Below are 26869 nucleotides of genomic sequence, written 5' to 3' on the forward strand. Positions count from 1 at the left end.
TTCTATCTACTCCAAACTCTCTTCCATCCCATTTCCTCTCCTGTCGGTCACCTTGAGAATGGCCACAGGCATTTTGCACTCTTTGTCTCAAAGGACTCCCCCAGTTGTTTCAGCCATACGGCCCCCCACACAAGCTCTGTGCTGGGGCCAGGCAGTGGACTTCGAGTACCCTCTGTTCAAGCACACGTGCAGGCATGCACACGCTCATGTGTGAGATGCAGAAAGGCTCTGGAGTGGCCCAGGTCACATGGCCAGGCTGCAGCTGCCCACTCCTGCCCCATGGTCTACCAGCTCCTGCTCGTGATTCCCAGACCTGACCTTGCAGGGCAGCTTCCGGCTTAGCCCCTGCTAACCCGAACACCTCTCATTATTCCTTCCACCTATTGGTTTCCTAGGCTTTTATCTGCCTCCCTCACTAGGGCATGGACAATGCCTGTCTTGTTCATTGTTGTATCCCAGTGCCTAGCTCAGTGCAAACATAGTAGCAGGTGCTCAACAAAAAACAAAAATTTTATTTTTGGAAACAGAGTCTCACTCTTGTCACCCAGGCTGGGGTACAATAGTGTGATCTCAGCTCACTGCAACCTCTGCCTCCCAAGCAATTCTCCTGCCTCAGCCTCCCGAGTAGCTGGGATTACAGGCGCTTATCACCATGCCCGGCTAAATTTTGTATTTGTAGTAGAAACGGGGCTTCACCATGTTAGCCAGGCTGGTCTTGAACTCCTGACCTCAGGTTATCCACCTGCCTCAGCCTCCCAAAGTGCTGGGATTACAGGCATGAGTCACTGCACCCGGCCCAAATTTTTAATCAATAAGCACACAGGATGTGTGGTGACATCCCAGAGGGCCTGCAGCAGGGATGGGCTTTGTTCAGAACCAGGCAGTGGGCAAGGCAGCCACAGACACACCTGTCCCCTCCACGCCACCACTGTCCCCACCCCATCACACTAGAGTCACACCAGCTCTGGGAGCAGAAGGTCACACATGCCAATCCAGCTCCCTCATGGCGCTCACACTTGCCCCGGCCTTGAGCACAAACCACTCCTGCCTGGGGTCAGGCAGGCACTGAACAGAAAACTCTGGCCACAGAATCCAGTTACAGAGTGGATGGAGCAGGGAGTTCTTCCTGCCCATGCAATGGGAATCATCATCGCTCATCAGAGATGGGATCCTTCCCAGGGCTGAGTGTGACCTCAACAATCAGGTGGCCCTGGAAGGGCCCAAGGGCACCACAGTAGCCCTGCGAGGAGCTCCTGCTAAAACACTTCACCGGACAGGGCCTTGGAGGCCCCGCCCCCACAGGGATGGAGGGGGCTACACAGGGAGGTAGGAACGGGCTCAATCTTAAGACTCCCAGCTGTCCTGGGATAATCCCCCCAAGCTGTGGAGACTGATGGGCAACGTCCAGCAGCCTCTGGACAAGGGCTGCTGCAGAAAGCCCTTCAAAGGAGCACCCGAACACATCCTGTTAAGAGAAAGGGTGTTTGCGGCCATCTCTGAAGTCCTGGGGGGCTTCCAGTTCCCTGTGTGAGTCAAGATCCTCAACAATGGACAAGAAGGGGCTCAAAGAGGCCAGAGGGCCCTTAGAGGGCGCCTGCTTGGTGGCAGCAGGTCTAAGACCAGCTCTCACTATTAACCATGGTTCCTGGGGTGCATTAAGAAGGATTCTGGGGCTCTGCCAGGGCTTCAGGCAGATCAGGACTCCACGTTGACTCTCAGCTCTGGGGTCAGAAGTTGTGGGAGGCTGATTGACGAATGGGAGTATAGAGCTCCCCCTAATGCTGTCGCCCCAACTCCACAGCAGGTGCATAAGTAGCTACAACTCTCCTGCTCTGGGATTGGCCACAGCTCGTCCCCTGTGCACTAGCACAGGCCTTGCCACCACCGAGATCCCTTGTGTGCCAGGCCTCTGGATTTCAGATATCCAGTGGCACAGAGCAAGTGGCACTAGGCAGACACCTGCATGCACCACCTCCTCCAGGTCACTTGCTCCTGGCCTGGAGAGTAATGCCCTCCACCCAGAGGGCTCCCCAACACCTCACAGAGGCAGAAGAGATGGAGCTGGAGAGGGAAACAGAAAGGGAAGGTGAAAGCTGGGCATGGGGTCTGGAAAAAGGGCCCAGAACACAGCAGTGGGGCCCAGACAGGGCTGGGGCCCTGCTCAGGAGTTTGTCAAAGTCAGGCAAGATGTGTTTTGGCAGAGAAGGTTCAGGTCAAAGGCAGGAAAGCTCGGGGGACAGATTCTGAGGCAGACAGTGGCAGGAGGTGAATGAGAGACAAACAGAGGCTAGTGCTGGTCCAAGGGTCAGAGGAGGCCTCTAGTAGGGCCAGGGAAGAACCCAGAATGCTCCTTTCTGAACTCCAAAATCCATGCTGGGGCCACTTGCTCAGCCTGGCTTGAAGGCTGGAAGAAGGCTCTGGGTGTGAGCTGCTGTGCACAGGCACAAAAGGGCACTGTTCTGGGGAAAGGATCCATAGATTTCATCAGAAGATCTAGAACCACCTCCACCCCCAAAATAACTTTAAGCACCCATAGACCAATGGCTCTCATTTGCAAAGTGTTCTCAGCTACTTTCCCCAAGGCCTTGGGAAACCTCCCCATGCTTTGCTGGCCCGTCCCACCCTTACAACATCCCATGCCTCCCCAGAGACATCCCTGTCCCAGCAGAGGTGGTGGCCAGGCAAGGGGCACGTGACTGCCCCTCCTTAGCTCAACCTTAGGGAAACCCTCTCACACACTGCAGGCCAAGGCCACAACAGGTAAAGGGGACAGCGAGAGACCCAAGTCTCATTGTCAAGCATGAAACAGAGCATCACTGCTTCTGACTTACTACTGAGCAACCTCCAGGAATGGAAAAGCATAGACCAGGCAGGGAGGCCAAGCAGGTAGAGCGGTATAGGCCAAGCACTGCACAGAAGGCCAAGCAAAGGTGGCGAGAAAGAGCTGAAATGTGACCCACACTCTGTCTACCCAGCACTGTGTCCTGGTGCAGGGCTGTGAATGCCCAGAGAAAGGGGTGCCCATTCCTTTGCACAAAAGCATAGCCAATCACTTTTCTACAGCCCAAGATCATCTTTGGCATCACGCTCCTAGGTCAAATGACCAGGGTCAAGTGCAGACAAACCCAACGAGGAAGCCCACATCCTCCAGGCTCCTTTCAGGTGGCGATGTGTTCAGGCAGTGGGTGGGGTGGGGGTGATTGCATGCAAAAGCCAAGGCTCCCTGCAGCTAAAGCTAAAACCACCCAACACCTCCACTGACAGGCCCCTTGGCACCAAGCTCAGACCATCAGAAAAGCCACAATATGACAGTCACATCACAATCACCTTTGTTTAACTCCCGTGATTCACCCTGACCACTTGCTGAAAAGAGAACAAGCTGTTTCAACAGCACAGGTAAGATCGCCTGCCATTATGCCCTGAAGTGAGAGTGAAAGGGACAGGACCCTCTGGCTCTGTCTCATGGGTCTCTCTGTCCACACCCTGCCCCCCAATATATGGGCATCTCACCAAAAGGAGGCTGGGTCTAGTATTTAAAGAAACCGATTTTTTAGGCCAGGCACAGTCACTCACACCTATGATACCAGCACTTTGGGAGGCCAAGGCAGGACGATTGCTTGAGCCAAGGAGTTCCAGGCCAGCCAGGGCAACATAGCAAGATACTATCTCCATAAAAAATTTAAAAAGTAACCAGACATGGTGGTATGTGCCTGTCATCCCAGCAACTCGGGAGGCTGAGATGGGAGGATCACTTGAGCCCAGGAGTTCGAGGCTGCAGTGAGCTATGATCACATCACTGCACTTCAGCCTGGGTGATACAGCAAGACCCTATCTGTTAAAAGAAGAAAGAAGGCCAGGTGCAGAGGCTCATGCCTGTAATCCCAACACTTATGGAGGCTGAGGTGGGCAGATGGCTTGAGCTCAGGAGTTTGAGACCAACCTGGCCAACATAATGAAACCCCATCTCTGCTAGAAATACAAAAATTAGCTGGGTGTGATGATGCACACCTATAATCCCAGCTACTCAGAAGGCTGAGGCACAAGAATTGCCTGAACCCAGGAGGCAGAGGTTGCAGTGAGCCAAGATCACACCACTGCACTCCAGTCTGGGTGACAGAGCAAGACTCTGTCTCAGAAACAAAACAAAATAAAAAAGAAGCCTGTTTTCAGACAACACAACTCCTAACCAGAAATCTTCTAACCAATCTAGTACTTTTTAAAAATAAATACATACAATTTTTTTTAAAAAAATTAAAGCAGAATATTCCAATGTGTGAAGAAAAACCATTGTTAAGAATTACTGATAGATGGTCAGTGGGTCTCCACGTCGGCGCTTGTATAACAGGCAATTTTGGCAATGCTTGACTTTCTCCTTAAACTGACTTTAGAACCAGCACCTCTGGAAGCTGCCACGCTACTACAGACTCCTCATAAACTGTTGCCCTGGAGAATTGTAGGCAGAGGGGCTAAAAGCCTAAACCTTGCTTAGCCACTGTGCCCCTTCCTCTCCTTGCCTTGCTATATATAAAATAGAACAGAAAGACACCAGGGAATAATCCAAGAATTCCAAAAAGTAAATTCATCTGTCCTTACAGGAAAAGTGACCCTTGCAGAAGTCACGCAGCAGAGCTCATCTAGCTATGGCTGTGAGGTAGAGGAGGGAACCTGGAGAGACACTATAAAATGTAGGGGTGTGGGAAGTGGGCTCTGGAATAGGCTGCTGTCCCCCAAGTGATCACTTGCAGGCCATCAGATCTCAGGCCAGAGACTCGATCCACCCTGATCTTCTGTCTCTGTAAAATGGGGATAATCAGAATACCAACCTCGCAGGAGGTTGGAGAGGACCAAATGAGATGATACCCCAAAGCACTTAGCTCCAGGGAAACATGCAATCAATGTGAGCTCATGTTACTGGGATAATTCAAGCTCCCCTTCTCCCGCCAGGTTCCTGGCTGGCTGCTGAGGTTTCACTCTCCCTGGAAAGACAGGAGAGCTGAGTTTTGAGCAGTGAGATCAAATTTCCCACTGCGATTTAGCCCACCCCGCCCCACCCACAGGAATGCCCAGCTAGAGCCACAGATGCCTCAGCATCACTGCTTTCCTGTTCCCACTACAGTGCAGGGATGGTGTCCCTAAATGTGGGACTATTTGGAGGTGACAGCCAAGGGGCTCAGCTTCTGTGCCAGCTCATCTCCCTCTCACCCTCCTATTCCCCATGATCACCCCAAAAGAGAAAGGCTAGGAGATCTCTGCAGAAGAAGCAGACACTAACCCCAGTAAAATCTATATCTTCGGCAACTCTGCAGAAAGGTGACTCCTCTCCTCCATCTTTCCCTAATAAAAACATGATGATGATGATGATGTGTAAAATAGGACAATGAGTGTGAAACACTTGAAGTTTTCTTTGTTTTGTTTTGGTTTATTTTATTTTTTAAGACAGGTTCTCACTGTGTCATTCAGGCTGGAGTGCAATGGTAACATCTTGGCTCACTGCGGCCTCAAACTCCTGGGCTCAAGGGATCCTCCTGCCTCAGCCTCCTGCGTAGCTAGGACCACAAGCACGCACCATTACTCCTGGTTAATTGTTATATTTTTCTGGCCAAGCGTGGGAGCTCACACCTATAATCCCAGCACTTTGGGAAGCAGATCACTTGAGGCTAGGAGTTCGAGACCAGCCTGGCCAACATGGCAAAACCCTGTCTCTACAAAAAATGCAAAAATTAGCTGGGCATATGGATGCACACTTGTAATCCCAGCTACTTGAAAGGCTGAGATATGAGATGCACTTGACCCTGGGAGGCAGGGGTTGCAGTGAGCAGAGATTGTGCCACTGCACTCCAACCTGGGTGACAGAATGAGGCTCTGTCTCAAAAAAAAAAAAAAAGATATTTTTCTGTAGAGATGGGGTCTCACTATGTTGCCCAGACTGGTCTCAAACTCCTGGCCTCACATGATCCTCCCTCCTTGGGAGTTTTCTCTAAGTACTAGGAAAAGGGTTTTTCCACTAGACCCAGGACAGCACACATGTGGAACACCTGCCCCAGCTCCTCTATCTTGCACCCACCATAGATATTGCCAACTGATCGGGGTTCTTTCTCTAAATTGGCACAGATGCAGCTTCAAAAGTCTCAACAGCGAGGGTTAAAATCTTGGGTTTCTCTGTTCTGGTCCATAGAACTTCCCTGCAAGCACCTGGACATGACACACACACACACACACACACACTCCTGCGCACACACTTGAGGATGTGCCCAATGTGAGCAGGAAAGGCCACCCTTCACTGAGCCCAAGTGGCATCTGGCACAGTGCCGGGTATCCCACATACTGGCTCCCCTTCCATCCTCCCAGGCCCCCTCAGAGGGAGCCCTTAAAATCCTCACTTTTCTGGTGAGGAAACAAAGCCCCAGGGAGCCACAGCATTTGTCCAGATGCCAGCCACGGAATCCCAGGCCAGGGCAGATGTTTCCAAGCATGGCTTCAGCTCAAAGGCAAAACAGGGAAGGGAAGGAAAAAGGGGAGCCGTGAACACCCAGCCATTCACCCCTCGTTCTGTCCTGGTCCAGCCCAGCCATGGGGTAGGAAAAGAAAAGGAAACTGAATATCACAAAGCCACCTGATGTGGCAATGTTAGTGGAAAGCCAGAATCAGGAACTGAGAAGAACTGAAGACAACATCGCAAAGGCAGGAACCCACGTGAATTAAAACAATGTCTTTTTTCTTCTTCTAAAACAGTCCCTCGCAGCTCTGTCAGAAGAGGAGCCAAGCCTGGGTACGTTGGCAGCCCCGGGGGACTGAGGAGAGCGTGCCCTGCCACAGCCTGCCTCTCTGTGCTGGTCCCACGTGGGTGAGGAGACAGACGCCAGCCTGGCCCAGGTCCCTCACGTCCTTCCCCACCACCCTGCACCAGAACTGTCTGGCACTGGAGGCTTTTACAGATGTTTCCTCAGCTCCTGCCTGAAAGTCAGGGCTTTACTGACCCATTTCAAAGAAGGAAGAATAGAGTCCCAAATAAGAGAAATAGCTCACCTGGGGGCCCAGACGAGGCGGCAAAAGCAGACTCAGAACCCGGCATTCTAGCTTTCAGGCCCTGGAATACTCCTGGACAATGCTGCCCACCTCTGAATAAGCAGTGAAGTGCAACTGAGCCCTCACCTGTGCCACACACTGTGATGTGCACTTCGGTTGCACAAAGTAATTCTCAGAATATAGTTTCCAGACCAGCAATAGCAGCATTACCTAGGAGCTTGTTGGAAATGCAGAATCCCAGACCCCATCCCAGACCTACAAAATCAGAATATCTGAGGGTGGGACTCAGGAATCTGTGTTTTTGCAAAACCAACAAATGACTTTGATGCGTGCTTAAGTTTGAGAACCTATGAGTAAGTACATTTATTAACCCCATTTTACAGATGAGAAAACTAAGGTTAAGCAATTTGTCAAAAGTCATGGAGCTAGGATGGGGTATAGCCAGGACTGGATTTTTATTTTTTTAGAGATACAGCCTTGTTCTGTTACCCAGGCTGGAGTGCGGTGGTGTGATCAGAGCTCACTGCAGCCTCAAACTCCTGGGCTCAAGTGATCCTCCCACTTCAGCCCCCCAAGTAGCTGAGACTAGAGGAACATGCCATTATACCCAGTCAGTTAATTTTTAATTTTTTTCAGATGCGTCTCACTGTGTGGCCAGGCTGGTCTTGAACTCCTGGCCTCAAGCAATCCTCCCGCCTCAGCCTCCCAAAGTGCTGGGATTACAGGAGTGAGCCACCATGCCCAGCTGGGAGTAGAATTCTTAACCCCTTGATTTTACTTCGGCCTCCAACAGGCAGCAGGTCTGGTTCCAGATTGAGTAGGATCAGTCAACATAGGACTGGACTCTCACTCTCTCTCACTCTGCCCCGCTCCCATGATCCTTAAGATCCTTAGGTCCCTCCCTGTGCCAGCCCCAGGAGACCCTAAGAAGAGGAGAGTTCATCTCTTGGGTCTCCCTAAGCACTCAAGGTCCTTGGGGTGAAACCATGAGAGACAATGGTGTGCTGGTCAATGTCTAACAGGGGGCTATCCAGGAGAACAAGAGGCTCTGGTTTGTAGGGTTTGCCACTTTCTGCAGTGTAAATGCCCCCACTGCAGCCAACATCAAGCTACCAAACAGGACACTGCTGAGCAGAATAAATGTGCACGATCAGCGCACCATGGGACAAAGGCACAGTGTCACAGGAGGAGGAGGAAGGAGAGAAGGGGCTTTGGCAGCCTAGGACGCTGCAGAGACCCCAGCTCTCCCACCCACCCCACCTGCCCTGCCTAGGCTTTGCCCCTATGTTCCAAATATGTCAGAAACACAGAATTCACTCCAAGTGGCCCTTTGCTTATTGTTTCCTAGAACAAACGTCTCTTTCTTTCTGTAAAAGTTTCTGACATAAGTAATCCATGTACAACGTAGAAAACTAGGGAATACATGTGAGTTAAAATGAAGAAAGTAAAAGCACAACTTTCCAGTATGTAAATACATTGTTACAACATTAAAAACAGGTAGTGCTCTGTATTCCGCTTTTCTAACTCAGCAGTACCCAGTGAACATCCTTTCACATCAAAAACAGAGACCAAGGACCAGCCCGATGGCTCACACTTGCAATTCCAGGGTTTTGGGAGGCCAAGGTGGGAGGATCACTTGAGGCCAGGAGTTCGAGACCAGCCTAGGCAACATATCGAGATTCCGTCTCTACAGAAAAATAAAAAAAAAATTAGCTGGGCATGGTGGCATGCATGTGTAGTCGCAGCTACTCAGGAGGCTGAGGCAGGAGGATCACTTGAGCCCAGGAAGTCAAGGCTGCAGTGAGTTATGATGGCACCACTGCACTCTAGCCTGAGTGACACAGCCAGACCTTGTCTCAAAAAAATAAAAAATAAAAATAAACGGAGACCAACACTATTATCAATGATGGCCTGAGTCCCATCACAGGAGGCTCCAAATAACCAATATCCTGTTGCTGGATAGCCAGGCTATTTCCAGCTGTCTCCTCCTGTAAGAGAATCCACGCTGCAACACATGTATGGTCACAAGCCTGTTCGATAATATTCCTTAGGTCAGAAGCTTGATTGCTAGGACAAAGAGTGTACCCATTTTTAGGCTTTTGGGATACACTACCAGGAGGCATTTGGCTATTTCCTCCTTTAACAAGCACTGAGCACCTCTAGACTACCTAGAAGTCTGCGCTAGGTAGCATGAGAGAGATGAGAAAAGGAAGCTGGGTTTTGACCTTCAACCACTAGATGGTGAATCCACAGTGACAAGTGTTACCCATCACTGTGCCCCTTCAAGGGCTGGCACACAGGAGCTGAGTGAGTGAATGAATGAACAAACTACGGTATGCTGGAGGTTGCTAAATGCATCCCAAACTCAGAACAAGACAAAACCAAGTAGAGGACCTGGAGTGCAGACACAAGGGAGGGGCAGGGAGCTAGGGAAGGGGAAAGGCAGAGCTCAAGGTGGGGTCTCTGTCTCCATAGCCATAGCCCCAGAGCAGACTCAGGGGTGGGGAACCGGCCCAGGGCTAGGATGAGTTTCTTTTTTTTTTTTTTTTTTTTTTGACAGAGTCTCCCTCTGTCACCCAGGCTGGAGTGCAGTGGTGAGATCTCGACTCACTGCATCCTCCACCTCCCGGATTCAAGTGATTCTCCTGCCTCAGCCTCCCCAGTAACTGAGATTACAGATGCCCGCCACTACGCCCAGCTAATTTTGTATTTTTAGTAGAGATGGGGTTTCACCATGTTGGCTAGGCTGGTCTTGAACTCCTGACCTCAGGTGATCTGCCCATCTCGGCCTCCCAAAGTGCTGGGATTACAGGCCTGAGGCACTGCGCCCCGCCTTCAGATGAGTTTCTACTTCAATCAGAGTTAAAATTCTGATTTTTTTACACTAATATGCAAATCCCATTTTCAGGAAGAATGATAATTGTGGACAAAATCTTAAAAGTCCATGGGTCTCTTTTTTAATGTAAGCAAGTTTTCCTGCTCAAAAGTAAAGTTCAGAAAAAAATCTAATCAAATTGAATTTAACTAAGCAAAGAAATCAATACTAGAGGAAATCTAGGTAGCCTCGCCCCACCCAGTCTAGCATCACCTGGGATCCGGCTTATGAGGAGACCTGGGAACAGGCCCAGGGCTTCCAGCTTCTCATCCATGTCCCCAGAGTCAGCCTGACCACAGGCTACAAGGCCACCTCCTCTCCTGGTCAGAAACACTGACCAGAGCTCAAGGTCACCTCCTCCAAGAAGTCTTCTCCAGCCATGGACTGAAGTTAGTTCTCACCTGCAGCAGGGTGTAATTGAAGCAAGATGCCTTAGGATCAAATCCCAATCCACCATATTTTGCTGTGTGACTTGGGCAAATCAGGTAACACACCAACCCTGTGCACACCAACCCTGCAAGGTAGCTCTGAAGATCAAACAAGATGGTGTGTATAAAGTGCATGGTTCAGGACCCAATACCCAGTGCCTGGCAAATGGAAACCCTGATCCCACAGCTTTTTTTTTTTTTTTTTTTTTTGAGACAGAGTCTTACTTACTCTGTCCCCCAGGCTGGAGTGCAGTGGCCTGGTCTCGACTCATTGCAACCTCCACCTCCTGGGTTCAAGCAATTCTCCTGCCTCAGCCTCCCAAGTAGCTGGGATTACAGGTGCCCACCACCGCACCCAGCTAATTTTTGTATATTTAGTAGAGATGGGGTTTCACTATGCTGGCCAGAACTGGTCTCGAACTCCTGACCTCAGGTGATCCACCTGCCTCAGCCTCCCAAGATCCCACAGCATTATATGTTGCCCACAACCATACTCTCAGCCCCTTTAGGGAAAGTCTCTCCATCTCCTCTTTCTCCCACCTTCCAGTTCACTTGGCAGCAGACTGTGCACATCAGAGACACTAGAGACAACCATCACATACCTGTAGTGAGAACACACTGAGCCACCTCTTCACACGTTACCACGTTCATGCTGATACTCCCAATGGCCCTACAAAAGCAGGTACTCATCTTACAGGTGGAAAAACCAGGGGCTAAACTAATTTTTTTAAGTGGACCAAATTATGGAAGCAGAGGGAGATGGAGCCCAGATTTGAAGCTGGGTCTACATGGCTCTGAAGTTCACCAGGCCATCCTGCCTCTCTCGGCCCCTTCAAAACAAACAGTAATTAACTGGCCAAACTTCCCAGATTGCCTGTACCTTCTCAAAATAAGGCAAAGCTCGCCAGGCAGGTAAGGGTTGAAATGACTCCTTTTTTCTGAACCCTCCAGTGACCAGTCTGCAGAGGTCAGTATTGGGTGTGCCAGCCCACGTTGATCATAAACTCCACCTGTTGCTTGCTGTGTAACCTTGGGTAATGGACTCTTCGAGTCTTTATTTCCACATCTATAAAATGGGGATTTAAAAAATTCCATTTATTTTAAAGACAAAGTGAAATAACACAGGTAAAGATCTCAGCTTAGTGCCTGGCGTCCAACGAGCAACACGAAATAGGATGATTGCTTCTGTGCCCCCAGCCAGTCCATCCAGGGTTGCAATGTGTGCGGAAAATTCCCTTTCTGGGGAACCGCCTGCCTGGACCTTAACAGGGAGGGCCCCCGGCCTCCCGGGCTGCCCTCTCGTTTAATCCCATCTCTCCCTGAGGTTAATCTCCTCGTTCATACATGTATTTCATTTCATACAGTCATCTCTGCATGGTCTCGTTAACCAGAAACGTGCAGCATATAAACGTGGATTTACAATGGGGTCTGGCTCCTGCATCCTGTTTCGGGGGCAACACTGGGCTCTCGCCCACCAGCTGGGAAATGCTGATGGAAGGTGGTGGAGCGGGGGGCACCCCAGCCCCCCAGGGAGGGGCCACACAACAGCCCACACAACCGCCAGATGAAAGTGGCAGCCTGTACTTCAGGAACCTGACAGTGGGCACATCAGCCTGGGGCCCAGCCCCTCACTCAGGGTATGGTACAGAGGACCCACATCTGCCCAGGTCTGTTTGCTGTTTCGGGTGGAAAGGAAGAAGCAGGTAAGATCGGCACCCCACTCTCTTTCCTTCTTTCCACTTTCATTTGAAGAAAAAGCACTATAAAGTAGAAACTAATGTTTTTTTACAACCCCTTAACAGCTTGTCCTCTGTGCTAACATACTGTAAATAAATGTCAGTTCCTGGTTATACATGTGGTTTATTTTAAACACGAGCAGAGGAAACTGAGTCTGTCATTGAAAACTGATTTGTGTATGTATGACGTGTGTGTGTGTGCTTCCATCTGGTTCTGAACACACAGATCACCCATCCATCTCTCTTTTTACACATTGCTCTTCTTCCTCATACTTTTTTTGTGGTTAAAAAAAAAAAATGCACAGCAGGCCAGGCGCTGTGACTCACGCCTGTAATCCCAGCACTTTGGGAGGCCAAGGCAGGCAGATCACAAGGTCAGGAGTTCAAGACCAGCCTGGACAACATGGTGAAACCCCGTCTCTACTAAAAATACAAAAATCAGCTGGGTATGGTAGCGCACGTCTGTAATCCCAGCTACTGGGGAGGCTGAGGCAGGAGAATCGCTTGAACCCGGGAGGTAGAGGTTGCAGCGAGCCGAGATCGTGCCATTGCACTCCAGCCTGGAGGACAGAGCAAGACTCTGACTCCAAAAAAAAAAAAAAAGTGCACAGCATAAAATGTACCATTTTAGCAATGTTAAACATACACTACAGCAGTACTAACTCCACACACATTATCTTCCTTCTCTTTCATATTAAAAGCCCAAGCCAGGCCGGGGGCGGTGGCTCACGCCTGTAATTCCAGCACTTTGGGAGGCTGAGGCAGGCGGATCATGAGGTCAGGAGATCGAGACCATCCTGGCTAATGCGGTGAAACCCCATCTCTACTAAAAATACAAAAAATTAGCCGGGCGTGGTGGCGGGCACCTGTAGTCCTAGCTACTCGGGAGGCTGAGGCAGGAGAATGGCGTGAACCCGGGAGGCAGAGCTTGCAGTGAGTGGAGATAGCCCACTGCACTCCAGCCTAGGCGACAGAGCAATATTCCGTCTCAAAAAAAAAACAAAAAATACAAAATAAAAGCCCAAACCTTCCACAGAAACGAACTGTAATGTCTGGTTCCAAACACTTTTTCATTCCACAAAGACACCCCGGGGTAGGGGCAAGCACAATACTTCACGGCTTAAGGAGTTTGTATTTTTAATGTCTGATTTGGGAGGGGGACATTTCACTGGCACAGATGTGCTCCCGACTTGGCCCCATTGCCCACCCACCGTGGGGAGCTTGCATGTGGAAAAGGCCTTTGGGGGACCCCAGGCAGCTCCACCTGGCAGCTGGTCCCACCAAGGCAGGCCCTCCCTAATCCAAACCTGCCTGCCATCCCAAGACAACCCCAAAACCTTCACTAAGCATGCCAACCATCCCAGGGGCCGTGACAGGGTCTGCCTGGGCACAGGCTCCAGAGCAGCAACTCAGCCTCTCCACTGTCCCTGCCCCGGGGCTGGCAGGGACCTCCCCAGACAACTCCTGCCAGGAGGACACACCTCTGGCACTCAGAGTCACGGGATGCTTTTCTTCCCATCAACTCCCTGCTTTTTCTTACATTCCTTTTTTTCTAGCTTCTCCCTAAGCAGCGTTACTCAAGAAATCACACATTTGGTGTGCTAGTAACAATTTTTCTTTCTTTTTTTTTTTCTTTTATAGGGACAAAATCTTGCTCTGTCACCAAGGCTGGAGTGCAGTGGCTGCATCATAGCTAAGTGCAGCTTCGAGCTCCTGGGCTCAAACCATCCTCCCACCATAGCCTCCTGAGTAGCTGGGACTACAGATGTGCACTACCACACCTACCTAATTTTTTAATTTTTTGTAGAGACAGGGTTTTACCATGTTGTCTAGGCTGGTCTTGAACTCCTGGCCTCAAGCAATTCTCCTGCCTTGGCCCCTGGAAGCACTGGGATTACAGATGTGAGCCATTATGCCAGGCCCAATTTTTCTAATAGACAATAAAATAAACATAAGAAGTAACATGTTCCTAACAGATGAAGGAATAAATATATATAAGTATGAAGAAAAGAGAACCATTCACCTATCAGCCACCTGAATCCCACAAGCCTCCGGTGCAATGTCCCATTTTGGGGACAGTGGGCATGAGAAGTGCTGGGCACCTCTGATAAAGAGGTGCATGTCAGTTGTCCTAAATGGATCTCCGGGAACCCACTCAGCCCACTGGAGTTCAGCAAGGGCTGAGTGTTGCATGCCAAGGGCAGTGCTGGGCAGAGGACAGTGGGAGGGGCGGGGGACATGCTGGCTACACACTCTGGCAAGCAGTGAAGTACTCCCAAAACCTGTGGCTCATCCACCCCCCAGGGCCGTTAGCAGAGGGGTGGAGAGGGGTGGAAATCACGACAAGTGTGACTATTTCCCAAGTGCACCTGACCACCTGCCCCCATGGCCCAGGGACTCCAGCTGTGCATTCCCTACGCACACCAGACAGGGCCAGAGAGACCCACCAGGCTGCGGCAAGGCTCAGGGGAAGCCAAGCCAGAAGACACGGCCTCAGAAAGGTTCAGCAATGGGAAAGGATACCACTGAGGGCCAGAGCCCCTGGCAGGAGGCACGTCCCCGAGCAGGGGGCACACTGAGCCCTTCCTGCCCCAACCACATCTGTCTCATCCCATAGCCCTGCACGGCCCCACACTTGCCAGATGTGGCCACCCGTAGGGACCAAGTTCATTTTCCGCGTGTCCTGCGATAATACTTGGTTGTGTTTATTTAACTTTCTGCTTCGAATGGCGGAGAGATGGGCCAGGAAAATCAGTTTGGCTCCCTTCGATCAAAACATAGCGGCCCACACATAATGCGAGGACACCCACACAGAGAAGCTCTCCCACACCATCAGAAAAAGCACATCTGGTCCACGGCTGGCAGGGGCCGGCCCGGCCCTGGGGGCCCTTGGAAAAGCTGCCTCGTGCAAAGCGGCATAGGCTGCAGTGGTCCCATGCTCTGTGTGTCACCCACACTGCTATGCTCCAGCGGGCGGCAGCAGGTTCAATCTCCCCACCCAGGCAGAGAGGTCTCAGAGAAGCCTTGTGTTCCACTACACACAAGCCAGTGCAGCCTGTGTGTAGTGGAACTCACACCCAGGTCCTGCTGGTCCTGGAACCCCCAAGAAGGCGAGAGGGGGACTTTGGGGAAAAGGAGAATCCGAGAGAAAGGTCCCAGAGGCTCCGCTCTGCACCTGCGAGAACAGATGTGGCTGCCTCATCCTCCCATAGCAGACCACATGCTGGCTCCCAGAGGGGAGAGGTGGGGACCCCCGGGTGGGTTAGCACAGCTGGTAAAAGCATTCCTGCTCCCACTTCTGATGGCCTCCAAAGTGCCTCCACCAAGCCCTGAGGCATCTGAAGCCTGCTCCTGAGACTGGAAACAAAGACACCAGGGGGTCTGGGGCTGGAGGGTCCACCCGGGAGCTCTTAGCAGGACACCAGGGGAAGCCTTATGAACCGCATGAGAGTGAGAGCTCGCCCAGCTGTCAGGACCCAGGCCCCCAGCCTGCGCCCACCCATTTTTTCCTCCCACCCCCAGCTCCTTCCCTCGAGGACAGGGGCAACCATGTGTCAAAGGTCTGCCCAGGCCCCATTTCCTGCTGACAGCACCCCTTCCCCACTCTTTGGCCTGGGGATATGCACACTGAAGGCTTGGTCCACCCTTGGGAAGACAAACACAGGGAGAGGCCCCAGAGGTCCAGGGTGGTCTGGGGTCGGGGAGGCTGGGGGAGTCCTGGCACCTGGAGATAATCTAGAAGAAAGAACACGTTCCCAGACTCACAGACTCCTCACCCCAAAGAGGACAGCCAGAGAGGGGCCTCTGCCAGCCCCTTGCCCCCAGCCCTGCCACACACCCTTCTTACCTCCTGATGCTCCAAGCCATGCACCCACCTGCTCCCTTCCAGGCAACCACCTTCCTGTCTCAGGACCTCTGCCACTGCTGCTCTCATTACCCAAAACACCCCTGCCATGTTGGAGGCCCCCACCAGACCTCTGCTATCCAAGAGGCCTTCCCAGATCCCTGGATAAACAGACGCCTCCTTCTCTGGTCCCCATAATCCTCTCTGAGGGCCCGACTCAGCTGAGACCCCTGGGCGCATCAGGGTCCCCTATGCTGTGAGCTCCCTGAGGGACAGCCCCACCCTGTTCCTCCTCCTTGCCCCTCACTCCCAGCTCAGGGCCTCGTCTCCACAGACAACTGCCATGAGTTGATTAAAATGAATTCATCGCAAGCCCTTTGCTTTGTTACTTTTTTAATCTTCCAGATTATAGGAAAAATAAATAAATACAGGTGAGTACTCAGGGAAAAATAAAACCACCTATAATGCCCCTCTCGGAAATGCCATGGGTATTTGAGGGCAGTCGGCCCTACCGGACACTTTCTGTGCATTTACACTTTCTCTCCTTCAACACAAATGGGACCTGGGGCATGTCTGAGTGGTCTTGAGGCCCTCGGGGTGTGCAGGGCAGCGCTGAGAGTCCGGCCACAAGAAGTTCACGGGCCCACGAGGATGTGGCTAAGGAGGGGCATCAGGGTAATGGGGGGTCTTGAAACCACATCTTGGGAGGGGAAGTGAAGGAACTGATGCTGTTCAGCCCAGAGGGGCAGGCTCAGGGGGCCCTCAGAGCTGTCTTCAGGCATCTGAAGGGCTGTCACAGAGAAGACAGACTGCGCTGGCTGTGTGGCCTCAAGGGGTCAAACCGGGACCAACCAGTGGAAGGCACTACAGAAAGATTTCAAGAAGAAACAGATGGGACGATTTCAAGAAGAAACAGATGGGACGCTATCAGCAGAGGCAATGAGGGGAGGTCTGCTTGGGGGTAGTGAGGCTCCCGGCATGGGAGGGGACCAAGCAGCGGTAGAGAGACCCCCAAGAAAGTCAAGGCTCAGCTAGGAGAGGAGTTAGAGTTGGCCTTGATGGGATCTCAAATGATCGCAGGGGAAATAGGTAGGTACCAGAAATAAACACTGGGGGTGGAGGAGACAATGGCACCACTCTACCCCCAACCCAGCCCACGCTGCCACCCAGAGTGTGCTTAGCAGGGTCCCATTTTCTGGTTTCTCCAGGGAGGCCAGAGATCTGAATATTTATAGGAACCATTCCAATTTTAAGACAGGCTGACCAAACTTCTAGCAGTCCAAATACAGTCCTTGCACTGCAGGCTGCCGACCCCCTGGTCAGACAAGGAGCTCACAGGGCAAACGAGGCTACTGAAAGAAAAGGGAGCCATTTCCGGGCCCAGAAGAGCAGCCATCCCCGCAGGACTGGAATGGGTTAAAGTCTGAGTTGGCTCTCTGCTGCTCCAGGACTACAGCTGGCCTCCTACCCCCACCCCCGCCCCCAGAGGCCCTGTCAGCTGCCCAGGCCCCGCCTGACCGCCCGCCTCAGCCACCCAGCCTGGAACCCCAGATCTGGGAACAGGGCAGCTGCCCTGAGGCTGGCCAGCCACCGCCAGCCAGAAAGAGATTCCGTTCCCCATGCCCTGCTGAGAGCCATTTGCTCATCTGGGATGGATGCCACAGGGGCAGAGAAGCAGGCTCTGTCCCGCTCTCCTCTCCCCTTCCTCCTGCCCCTAGGCCTGTGACAGGGAGCAGACCTCTGGTGCCACCACAATCAAAACTCCGCTGAGCACCGGTGACTAGGCGGGGTGCTCCACACACAGAGCACTTGTGTCACCTTCCTAGGGATCCTGCAGGGAGTCCTCAACCATCCTCATTGCACAGGCAAGAAAACCTATACTCAGAGAGGTTAAGACACTTGCTCACGGTCACACAGCCAGCAAGTGGCAGAGCTGGGATTCAAATCCAGACCTATGCAATTTAAAATCCCACACCAAGCCACTGGGCTAGAGGGTCCTGGCTCTCCCACATCCACATTCCCCATCTACCTGGTTGTTTTCTAGAAGCTACAGGCACCTGCTGCCTGGCTGGCTATGAGAGGGGAGAGAGGGCATAGTCAACGCTACTGATAAAGGCTGGGATAAGGGGGCTGGGCATGGTGGCTCACGCCTGTAATCCCAGCACTCTAGGAGGCCAAAGTGGGTGGATCTTTGGAGGCCCAGGAGTTCAAGACCAGCCCAGGCAACATGATGAGCACATCTCTACAAAAAATACAAAAATTAGCCAGGTGTGGTGGCATGCGCTACTCAGGAGGCTAAGGTGGGAGGATCTCCTGAGCCTGTGAGTTCTAGGTTGTAGTGAGCTGTGATTGTGCCACTGCACTCCAGCCTGGGCAACAGCGTGAGATCCCATCTCAGAAAACCTAAATAAATGAATAAATAAAGTCCTGAAGCAGTACTGAAGTAGCTGATTTGGAATCATTTCTCACAGTCTGGAAAGTGAGAAAGGGTGAGGGGCTGTATGGTGTACTTCCATTTGTGTTGGGGAGGGGAGATAAATACACGAATTTTCATGTGTCTGAACACACGTAAATTGCCCTGGAACCAGACACAAGAAACTAGGACCAGCAGTGGCCTCCAGGGAGGACAGTGGGTGGCTGGGGGAGTTTCTAATTTTGCTCCTTGTGCATTCATTAGCAATTCGTGTGTTTAAAAGTGTGTGTGTGTTCTACTTAAACCCCCTGCCACACCACCAGGGGCACCCACACTTGCCTTGGGGTGCTGCATTTTTGCCTTCCCACCTTGGTCCACTCCCCTAGTTGTAGCCCTACTAGGCGGTGGGGCTTTGGGGAAGTTCTTGCTGCTCTCTCTCAACTCCCATTTCCCTGTGCGTATGAATGACATTAGACTGGACTTCCCCCAAATCCCCACCCACCCTGGTGCCCTACAGGTCTACCTTGGTGACTCCAACCCCACAGCCCAGAGCTGGCCTAACAGGCAACGGCGCACTTCACCCCCAGCCCACCCTGTGCCCCGACTCCAGGCAGCCAGAGCCTTCTGAGGTGGCAGGACAGGCCACCAGGAGAGCAGTGACAGCCAAGCAGACATGTTCATCCTCCAGGTATCCACTGCCCCAGCCTCGGATAACAGCAGCACCCCAATCGTGCCCTGAGGAACCGCCCCTAACCCTAACCTCAATGTGCCACCAGTCAAAATGCCCTGCCCTCCCCTGGGCCATGGCCCAGGCTCATGCTTGATCTGCCCAGGGATTGATCCTCAAGCAGAGCCACGCAGGAGACACGGGAGGTGACAAACTCCCGCCCCATGGCAGTTCCCGGAAGAGAACATCCATTCCCTCTCGCTCCCGCATCTCCAGAGCTGCCCCAAGGCCTCCATCTCTCTGTGCATTCACACTGTTGGCTCCCCCTTGGCCTCCTGTTAAAGTCTCTTTTGGCTTAAGTTGTCCAGAGTTGGCTTCTGTCACCTGCACCACTGAACCCTGCTGGACAGGAAACCAGCACAGTGGCCGAGACAGCAGCTGAGACCATGGAGATGGTCCTGCCATTGCAGCTGACTCAGAAGCCACCCAGGAAAGGCCAAAAGCTCTTTGGACAGGGGCCAGGGGTCCACATCCGCCCCCCAACTCCTATAAATGCCTTGGAGAACCGGGAGGCCCCAGGTGGGCTCCTGCAGAAGAAGCTGGAAAAAGAAAACAAGCAGCTCCTTCCTCAAGGACGTTAGCAGGATTTGCCGAACTCCCACTTTTTACTCCTGGAAAGCCCAGAGGACGCAGGAAGTGACAGTTCCAGGGAAGGCGTGAGGTCGAAGGCTGTGGGCTGCCAGGGTCCAAGAGCCAGGCCCTGAGGAGCCGGGGCTTCGGAGACAGAAGGCCCTGGGTCAAGGCCACAAGCCCAGCCCTCAGCAGCAGTGGGACTCCAGACGGGGCCTGTAATACTGAACCTTTTCAGGCATCACCTGTAAAATGGACATGATTCATCTGCCTTCCCGTGGGCTCTGGGGGGTGGGGGGATGACATCCCCGACATGTCCTGTGCCCAGGATAGACTGCACCTACCCTTTCCAACAATGGGGCAGGATCGGAGGGCAAGCAGGACAGGGGTGGGCTGTGCCAGGATAGACTGCACCTGCCCTTTCCAACAATGGGACAGGATCGGAGGGCAAGCGGGACAGGGGTGGGCTGTGCCAGGATAAACTGCACCTGCCTTTTCCAACAATGGGACAGGATCGGAGGGCAAGCAGGACAGGCATGGGCTGTGCTTTCTCAGGTGGGCAACTGAGGCTCAGACAGGAAACACGCTTGTTCCTGAGAAGTACAAAATTACTCCAATCCTCCAAGGTCCTCCTGAACAACCTAATCAATTGGCTTGCTATAAGATTTGTTCCAGAAAAGTTTTGCAAGCCACTATTGTAAAAAAAAAAAAAATTAATCCGCAATGAGTTTACAGCTCGACAGGCCTAGCACCCCATTTATCTACCTCATTCAAACCCAGGAGCATGACCCAAAACAGGGCTCTGATAGGGGTGAGCCTGGCATGTGAGCAGGGAGCCAGGAGGAGGTGGCATCCCCCACCCCAGGAGTGTGGATGGCCAGCAAGACGGAGGCGACAGGAGGCGGTCAGGTCTCTTCTGAAGCAGCCCCAGAGCACTGGCCATCTCAACTCTGCAGCGGGCATCTCTCCTGACCTCCTCTTTCCCACACGTGTGTCCTAGAATGCCACCTCCCAAGCCACGTCGGGGAGGGCAGCCTGCTGGTTAGGGCCTCAGGGTCTGGGATGAAACCAACCAGGCTCACAGCGGGGCTCGGCCGCTCATCAGCTGTGTGAACTTCGGCAAGTTACTCAGACTCTCAGAACTTGAGTTTCTTATCAGTAAAATGGGTCAAAGAGGGCCTACCTTAGTGGGAGAATAGGCTGCTCAGTAAATTTGGCCATTCTTATTAATAACACTATTATTTTCCCTTTCCTGCCCTGATACCCCCAGCTGCTCCACCAAAACGAACCAAAAAAAGCAGCCCCCTAAGCAGCAGCTGCACAAAGATCTCGATACGGGGTCAGGACAGGAAGTTATCTGGGAGTTCCCTAACTTTCCATGAGAAATCTAAGGCACAGACCTCATTCACAAGGGAAGTAGGGGGCCTGGCACCTGCTTCTGCTTCATCAGGCACAGTGGGAAACTGCCAACTCAGTCTAGTGCCCCACTGGACAGATGGGAAAGCTGAGGCACAGGGAAGTGGTATGACGGGTGCCAAGTCACACAGCAAACAGGAGGCAGGGCTGGTCCAGGAGCTCCAGGCAGACTCTGGCAGGGCAGCACTGCCCAGCTCTTTCAATCCTCGGAGTACTGGCAACCTTGAGGCCTTCAGGGCCAGCCAGGTAACATTAAAGGGTAAGGAAGGCTTGATGCACACAACAGGGAGTCATAGGTACGAGGAACAGAGCACGCAGGCTTGGGTATAAGCAGGCAGCACCAGCCCATCCTCACTGTACAGGAACTTGATCTCCTGATTGCTTTGAAGAACAGCTAGAAATCTGGATTTTTGTGCATACTTTCCTGAATTTTAAGTGTTACATTCTAATTCCAAACAAACAAAAAAAAAAAATATATATATATATATATATATATATATATATATTTTTTTTTTTTTTTTTTTTTTGAGACAAAGTCTCACTCTGTTGCCCAGGCTGGAGTGCAGTGGTACAATCTCAGCTCACCGCAAACTTCACCTCCCAGGCTCAGGCGATTCTCCTGCCTCAGCCTCCTGGGTAGCTGGAATTACAAGCGCCCGCCACTACGCCGGGCTAATTTTTGTATTTTTAGTGGAGGCAGGATTTCACCATGTTGGCCAGGCTGGTCTTGAACTCCTGGGCTCCCACGATCCACCTGCTTTGGCTTCCCAAAGTGCTGGGATTGCAGGCGTGAGCCACTGTGCCTAGCCAAAAACAAATTTTAATCCTGAGCAGCCAAGAAAACAAAATGATCCTGACACTGGATGCGCTCCTCGGGTTCCCAGACTGCAACCTTCCCCCAGGATTTCAAAGCAGGTCCTGAGTATTTTTGTTTGTTTGTTTTGTCATTGAGCTAAAATGACATGAGAGGTGCTTGGAAAGTACTTTTCCCTATAAAGCAATGTCTTGCCCAGGTGACTAAAATTCCACCATTAGCTACTAATTCCTTTTAGTCAAACAGTGCTCTCCCTGGATATTCTTTTAAAAAGAAGATTCAGGCAGGATGCAGTGGTTCATGCCTGTAATCCCAACATTTTGGAAGACTGAGGAAGGAGGATTGCCTGAGCCCAGGAGTTGCCAGCCTAAGCAACATAGTGAGGCCCCATCTCTACTAAAAATTTAAAAATTAGCCAGGCATGGTGGCACGCACCTGTAGTCCCAGCTACTGGGGAGGCTGAGGTGGGAGGATTGCTTGAGCCTGGGAGGTTGAGGCTGCAGTGAGCTATAATCATGCCACTGCACTCCAGCCTGGGTGACAGAGCGAGACCCTGTCTCAAAAAAAAGGAAGATTCCAAAGCGTTTATTGTAAATGTCTTAGTCTAGAGGAGAGGCCTAAGCAATGCTTCAGTCCTGGAAAAACAAAGTAATAATAATAACAATAACGGTAGCAATAACTAACCTATACTGAGCAATCAGTATGCTCAAGGCACCATCCCAAGTACTGAGGACACAGTTGACTGCAAAGGCTTTTGAGAGGGTGAAGAAAAGCATGTGTCTATTTTAGATAAGAAGCTGCTAATATCTCCCCAAAATACCACTCCCAAGGCTGAGATCAGACACTTGGTGTCTTTCCAGCAGAGAAGCATCGCCACATTTGCCATCTCGAAATAAGTCTGGCATCTTCCATGGACAAAACTTTTGGCTGCCAAGTAGCTGGGGCACGCCTGAGGCTCTGGCCACCTGACGTCCTAGAGGGAGGGCCTTGCACGGAGTCCTAGCAGCGGAGAGGGGAGAGCAGGGGGAGGCAGGGGAAAGTTTACCTCGACACTTTTCCCTAAAATGCTGATCTTAGGTCTAGACAACAGAAAAGATGCTGCTAAAATTACTATGAAGTCTTTCCCCAAAAGGCATTTGGTTACATCTGATTTTAACGTGCACTTGCAGAAGTCCACTCTCTGGGCCCATCCTGGGCTTCCAGATGAGGGTCTGGAAAGGGCCCCTGAGATTATAAACCCAATAAAAGAGACGCAGAGGCCTGGGGAGGACTTTCCAGGAAGGAAATGCAGAGCAGCAACAGGAACACAGGTCCCATCAGACCAGGGTGCGGGTCCAGAGCCACACAGAACGCCTGATACCGCCTTAGCCTGATTGAGGACAGCTGGGGAGAGTGGTGCTGGGCAGGAGGTGCTCAGGCAGAGCTGAGACCCTGAAGGTAGGAGAAATGGGGACAGTGCAGTTAGAGAACAAAGAAAACTCAGTAAGAAACAAGACCACCATGTCACTTATCCCAGGGTTTCTGTTGTGCACATGCATGCTTTGTCCATGCAGTTTGAGTCTATCCATCTTTTGACCCTACTAGATGAGTGTGTCGCAAGGTGTGGTTAGCTCCATTTTATCAATGAAGAGAATACGAGGCCCAGAGAGGTTAAGACACCATTTCAGGATCACACAGCTGCAGTACCAGGCCTCCAACCCGCCAGTTCACAAATGCTCCATCTCTTCGCTCCAACATTCTGACCTTTTTTGAGTTCGTCAACTGTGCCAAGCCCTCCCCACTGCTGGGCATGGTGAGCTGTATTCCATCACCACCAAAGGCCCATCCAGTGCCAGGCCTGCCATGGTCACCTCGCTACTCATGTCTCAGTCACAGCTCATCAGTCCTTTTTCTCAGAAGGCTTCTGTGCAGTTGAAATCTAATTCCCCTACTCCTTGATGCACCGCCCCCCAGAATGGATCGCATGATAGCATCACACCCACACCTACCTTTCCTAGAGCAAAGCCATATAAAAATACCTGGAGGGATTGCTGAAACTCAGATGCCCGGGCGCCCACAGAGATTCTGACTCAGCAGAACCTGGATAGGGCCCGGGGATCTGCATTGCTACCAAGTTCCCAGGTGAGGCTGACCCCATGCTGTCCAATACAGTCGCTACTACCCTCATGTGAGTATTTAAATAAAAATTAACCAAAAGTAAATCAAACTGGGCATGGTGGTGCATGCATATAGTCCCAGCTACTCGGGAGGCTGAGGCAGCAGGATCACTGGAGCCCAGGAGTTCAAGTCTATAGTGCGCTGTGACTGCACCTGTGTATAGACACTGCACTCCAGCCTGGGCAACACAGAGATACCCCATGTCTAAAAATAAATAAAAAAGAACTGGGTGCAGTGGCTCTCACCTGTAATCCCAGCTACTCTGGAGGCTGATGTGGGAGGATCCCTTGAGGCTAAGAGTTCAAGACCTACCTGGGCAAAATAGAGAGATCTCATCTCTTAAAATATAAAAATAAATTAGCTGAGTGTGATGGTGAACGCCTGTAGTCCCAGCTACTCCAGAGGCTGAGATGAGAGGATCACTTGAGCCCAGGAGTTCAAAACTACAATGAGCTGTAACCATGCCAGTGTACTCCAGCTTGGGCAACAGGGCAAGACCCTGTCTCTAAAAAAATAATAATAATAAATACATATTGTTAAAATAAATATTTTTAATTTTTTTAACTAAATCAAATTTAAAATGGCAGCTCTGGCCGGGTGCAGTGGCTCATGCCTGTAATCCCAGCTCTTTGGGAGGCTGAGGCCGGTGGATTACGAGGTCAAGAGATAGAGACCATCCTGGCCAAATGGTGAAACCCCGTCTCTACTAAAAATACAAAAAAATTAGCCGGGCGTGGTAGTGGGTGCCTGTAGTCCTAGCTACTCGGGAGGCTGAGGCAGAATGGCGTGAACCCGGGAGGCGGAGCTTGCAGTGAGCAGAGATCGTGCCACTGCACTCCAGCCTGGGTGACAGAGTGAGATTCCGTCTCAAAAAAAAAAAAAAAAAAAATGGCAGTTCCTCAGTCCCACTAGCCAGGTTTCAAATGCTCAAAACCCATATGTGGCTAGTGGCTACCATATTGGACAGTACAGATATAGAATATTTCCATCTTCACCAAAAGGTCTATTGGACAGCACTGGTCTAGACTCTAGAGCACATGTTACTGTTAGTAATCATAGGCTCATCCACGAGTATCTTTTTTTTTGAGACAGAATCTCACTCTGTCACCCAGGCTGGAGTGCAGTGATGTGATCTCAGCTCACTGCAACCTCCGCCTCCTAGGTTCAAGCGATTCTCCCTGCCTCAGCCTCCCAAGTAGCTGGGATTACAGGCACCCACCACTTTGCCTGGCTAATTTTTGTATTTTTAGTAGAGACAGTGTTTCACCATGTTGGCCGGGCTGGTCTCAAACTCCTGACCTCAGGTGATCCACCCGCCTTGGCCTCCCAAAGTGCTAGATTACAGGAATGAGCCCATCCATGAGTATCTGATTACAGATGGTCCCTGACTTAAAGTGTTTAGACGTGCAATGGTTCAACCTCACAATGGTATGAAAGCAACACACATTTAGTAGAAACTGTACTTCAGTACAGTACTCAATAAATTACATGAGATATTCTTCCCTTTATTATAAAATAGGCTTTGTGTTAGATTAGTTTGCCCAACTGTAGGCTAATGTAGGTGTTCCAAGTATGTTAAGATAAGCTCGCTAAGCCCTGATGTTTGTAGGTTAGGAGTATTATTAAAGGTATATTTGTTGAATAGGTGGATGGATGGATGGATGGATGGATGGATGGATGGATGGATGGATGCATGGATGGATGGGTGGATGGATGAATGGATGGACAGATGGATGGACAGACGGACGGACGGACAGACAGATGAATGGAAGGATGGACAGTGAGCTGAATGGCAAGAACTCCGAAAGGGGCAGAGACTCCCAGTGGCCTAACTCCTCTTGAAGGCAGACCCCCTACCTCCCTTGATTGACCTGCTAGAGCATGAACCCTCTGCTTAATCCCATAGCCCCTGCCCCAAGATATGAGCAGCAGAGGAATATCCGCTAGGCCTTGGATAACCATGTCCTGCTTAACCAAGAGGAAGCTCTGTTGGAAAAGAAAGTCAATGCTAAAATGCCTTTACTATTTTCAGTTCTTGGATACCTAGCAAACAAGAGCTGACAATCTGACTTTAATAGCTCCAGTTCTGAGTGTCTTAAAGACATTTCTTTCCAACTAAGTAACCCAAATAAATTTAGCTACATTTTTTTAATAAGGAGAAATAATTAAAGAACAGATGGTGTTGCTTACTTTGAAATTTTTGCTCTAAAATAGATTTTGTGTGCACCTTGGTTGGAGTTCAACTCTCCCCCTCCCCCTTGCATTCGTGTGTCAGGAAAGGAGATCAGTTCACTAATTACCTGGCTGTCTTTTCCCTACAAGATCCCAATTTAAGAATCTCGTTTCATTCTAAGAAAATTAATTCAAAATGCCAAATAATTTAAAAATGTATTAAGATTCCCCTTAGACTAGAAAGCAAAAAGGAGCTTTCATTTGTCTGTTAAAAATCACCTTGGGTAGTAGATTGAAGTTTAGCTCTTAAGACTTGATCCCCACAATTGGGCTTTTGGCAAAAGCTATGGGTTCCATATGTCCACAAAATGTTTCATTTAAAATATATGTGCTTTTAAATTGGTCTCTGACCATTTCTATGCCACAGTCTCTAACTGCTCCACGCATTTTCCCAACCCTTGGAGCCTTGTTCGCCTCGGAAGCTAGACTCTTTTATTTGCATTGGAGGTAACCTATTTCCAGCATGCCAAAACCTGTTCACTTTCAAAGCCACTTTTGGAGATTTTATAGCCTGAAATGGAATAAAATTTAAATTTAATAAAATTTGAGACCTGAACAAGAAAAAAAAGAAAAACTGAACGGGTTTAAAAGCCAGCTACCCAGACGCGGAGGAAAATATTCTAAGAAAACC

The 26869-nt window shown here is 50.9% G+C and overlaps 1 protein-coding gene across 11 annotated transcripts in view, besides 5 other annotated features; it reads right to left on the reverse strand.

Annotated features, from left to right (window-relative positions):
• Positions 1 to 26869, reverse strand: part of ZNF423 (zinc finger protein 423) — a 371756-nt gene that overhangs the window by 306851 nt on the left and 38036 nt on the right. The window contains exons 2-4 of one of the 11 annotated variants that reach the window (XM_006721171.5): positions 11210 to 11395; positions 10932 to 10999; positions 10115 to 10302 (exon numbers count right to left, since the gene is read on the reverse strand). The exons of 5 other annotated variants lie outside the window; for them this stretch is intronic. In XM_006721171.5, coding sequence (XP_006721234.1) covers positions 10115 to 10175 — 61 coding nt within the window. In that variant the 5' untranslated portion in view covers positions 10176 to 10302; positions 10932 to 10999; positions 11210 to 11395. Of the gene's footprint in view, positions 1 to 10114; positions 10565 to 10931; positions 12386 to 26869 lie in introns of those variants that run through there. 5 more of the 11 variants (XM_047433808.1, XM_047433806.1, XM_047433803.1 and 2 more) reach the window with 5 other exon arrangements.
• Positions 6043 to 6543: an enhancer, noted in NCBI's record as "H3K27ac hESC enhancer chr16:49834328-49834828 (GRCh37/hg19 assembly coordinates)". NCBI's record gives its function as "activates a minimal SCP1, AML or CMV promoter by ChIP-STARR-seq in primed H9 embryonic stem cells {active_cell/tissue: H9 hESC(primed)}" and the evidence as "EXISTENCE:reporter gene assay evidence [ECO:0000049][PMID:30033119]".
• Positions 6687 to 6736: an enhancer, noted in NCBI's record as "active region_10807". NCBI's record gives its function as "activates an Ori minimal core promoter by ATAC-STARR-seq in GM12878 lymphoblastoid cells {active_cell/tissue: GM12878}" and the evidence as "EXISTENCE:reporter gene assay evidence [ECO:0000049][PMID:35858748]".
• Positions 14195 to 15140: an enhancer, noted in NCBI's record as "H3K27ac-H3K4me1 hESC enhancer chr16:49842480-49843425 (GRCh37/hg19 assembly coordinates)". NCBI's record gives its function as "activates a minimal SCP1, AML or CMV promoter by ChIP-STARR-seq in primed H9 embryonic stem cells {active_cell/tissue: H9 hESC(primed)}" and the evidence as "EXISTENCE:reporter gene assay evidence [ECO:0000049][PMID:30033119]".
• Positions 15141 to 16085: an enhancer, noted in NCBI's record as "H3K27ac-H3K4me1 hESC enhancer chr16:49843426-49844370 (GRCh37/hg19 assembly coordinates)". NCBI's record gives its function as "activates a minimal SCP1, AML or CMV promoter by ChIP-STARR-seq in primed H9 embryonic stem cells {active_cell/tissue: H9 hESC(primed)}" and the evidence as "EXISTENCE:reporter gene assay evidence [ECO:0000049][PMID:30033119]".
• Positions 16086 to 17031: an enhancer, noted in NCBI's record as "H3K27ac-H3K4me1 hESC enhancer chr16:49844371-49845316 (GRCh37/hg19 assembly coordinates)". NCBI's record gives its function as "activates a minimal SCP1, AML or CMV promoter by ChIP-STARR-seq in naive H9 embryonic stem cells {active_cell/tissue: H9 hESC(naive)}" and the evidence as "EXISTENCE:reporter gene assay evidence [ECO:0000049][PMID:30033119]".

Source organism: Homo sapiens, chromosome 16 (assembly GCF_000001405.40).
Source record: "Homo sapiens chromosome 16, GRCh38.p14 Primary Assembly".
Classification (NCBI taxonomy): domain Eukaryota; kingdom Metazoa; phylum Chordata; class Mammalia; order Primates; family Hominidae; genus Homo; species Homo sapiens.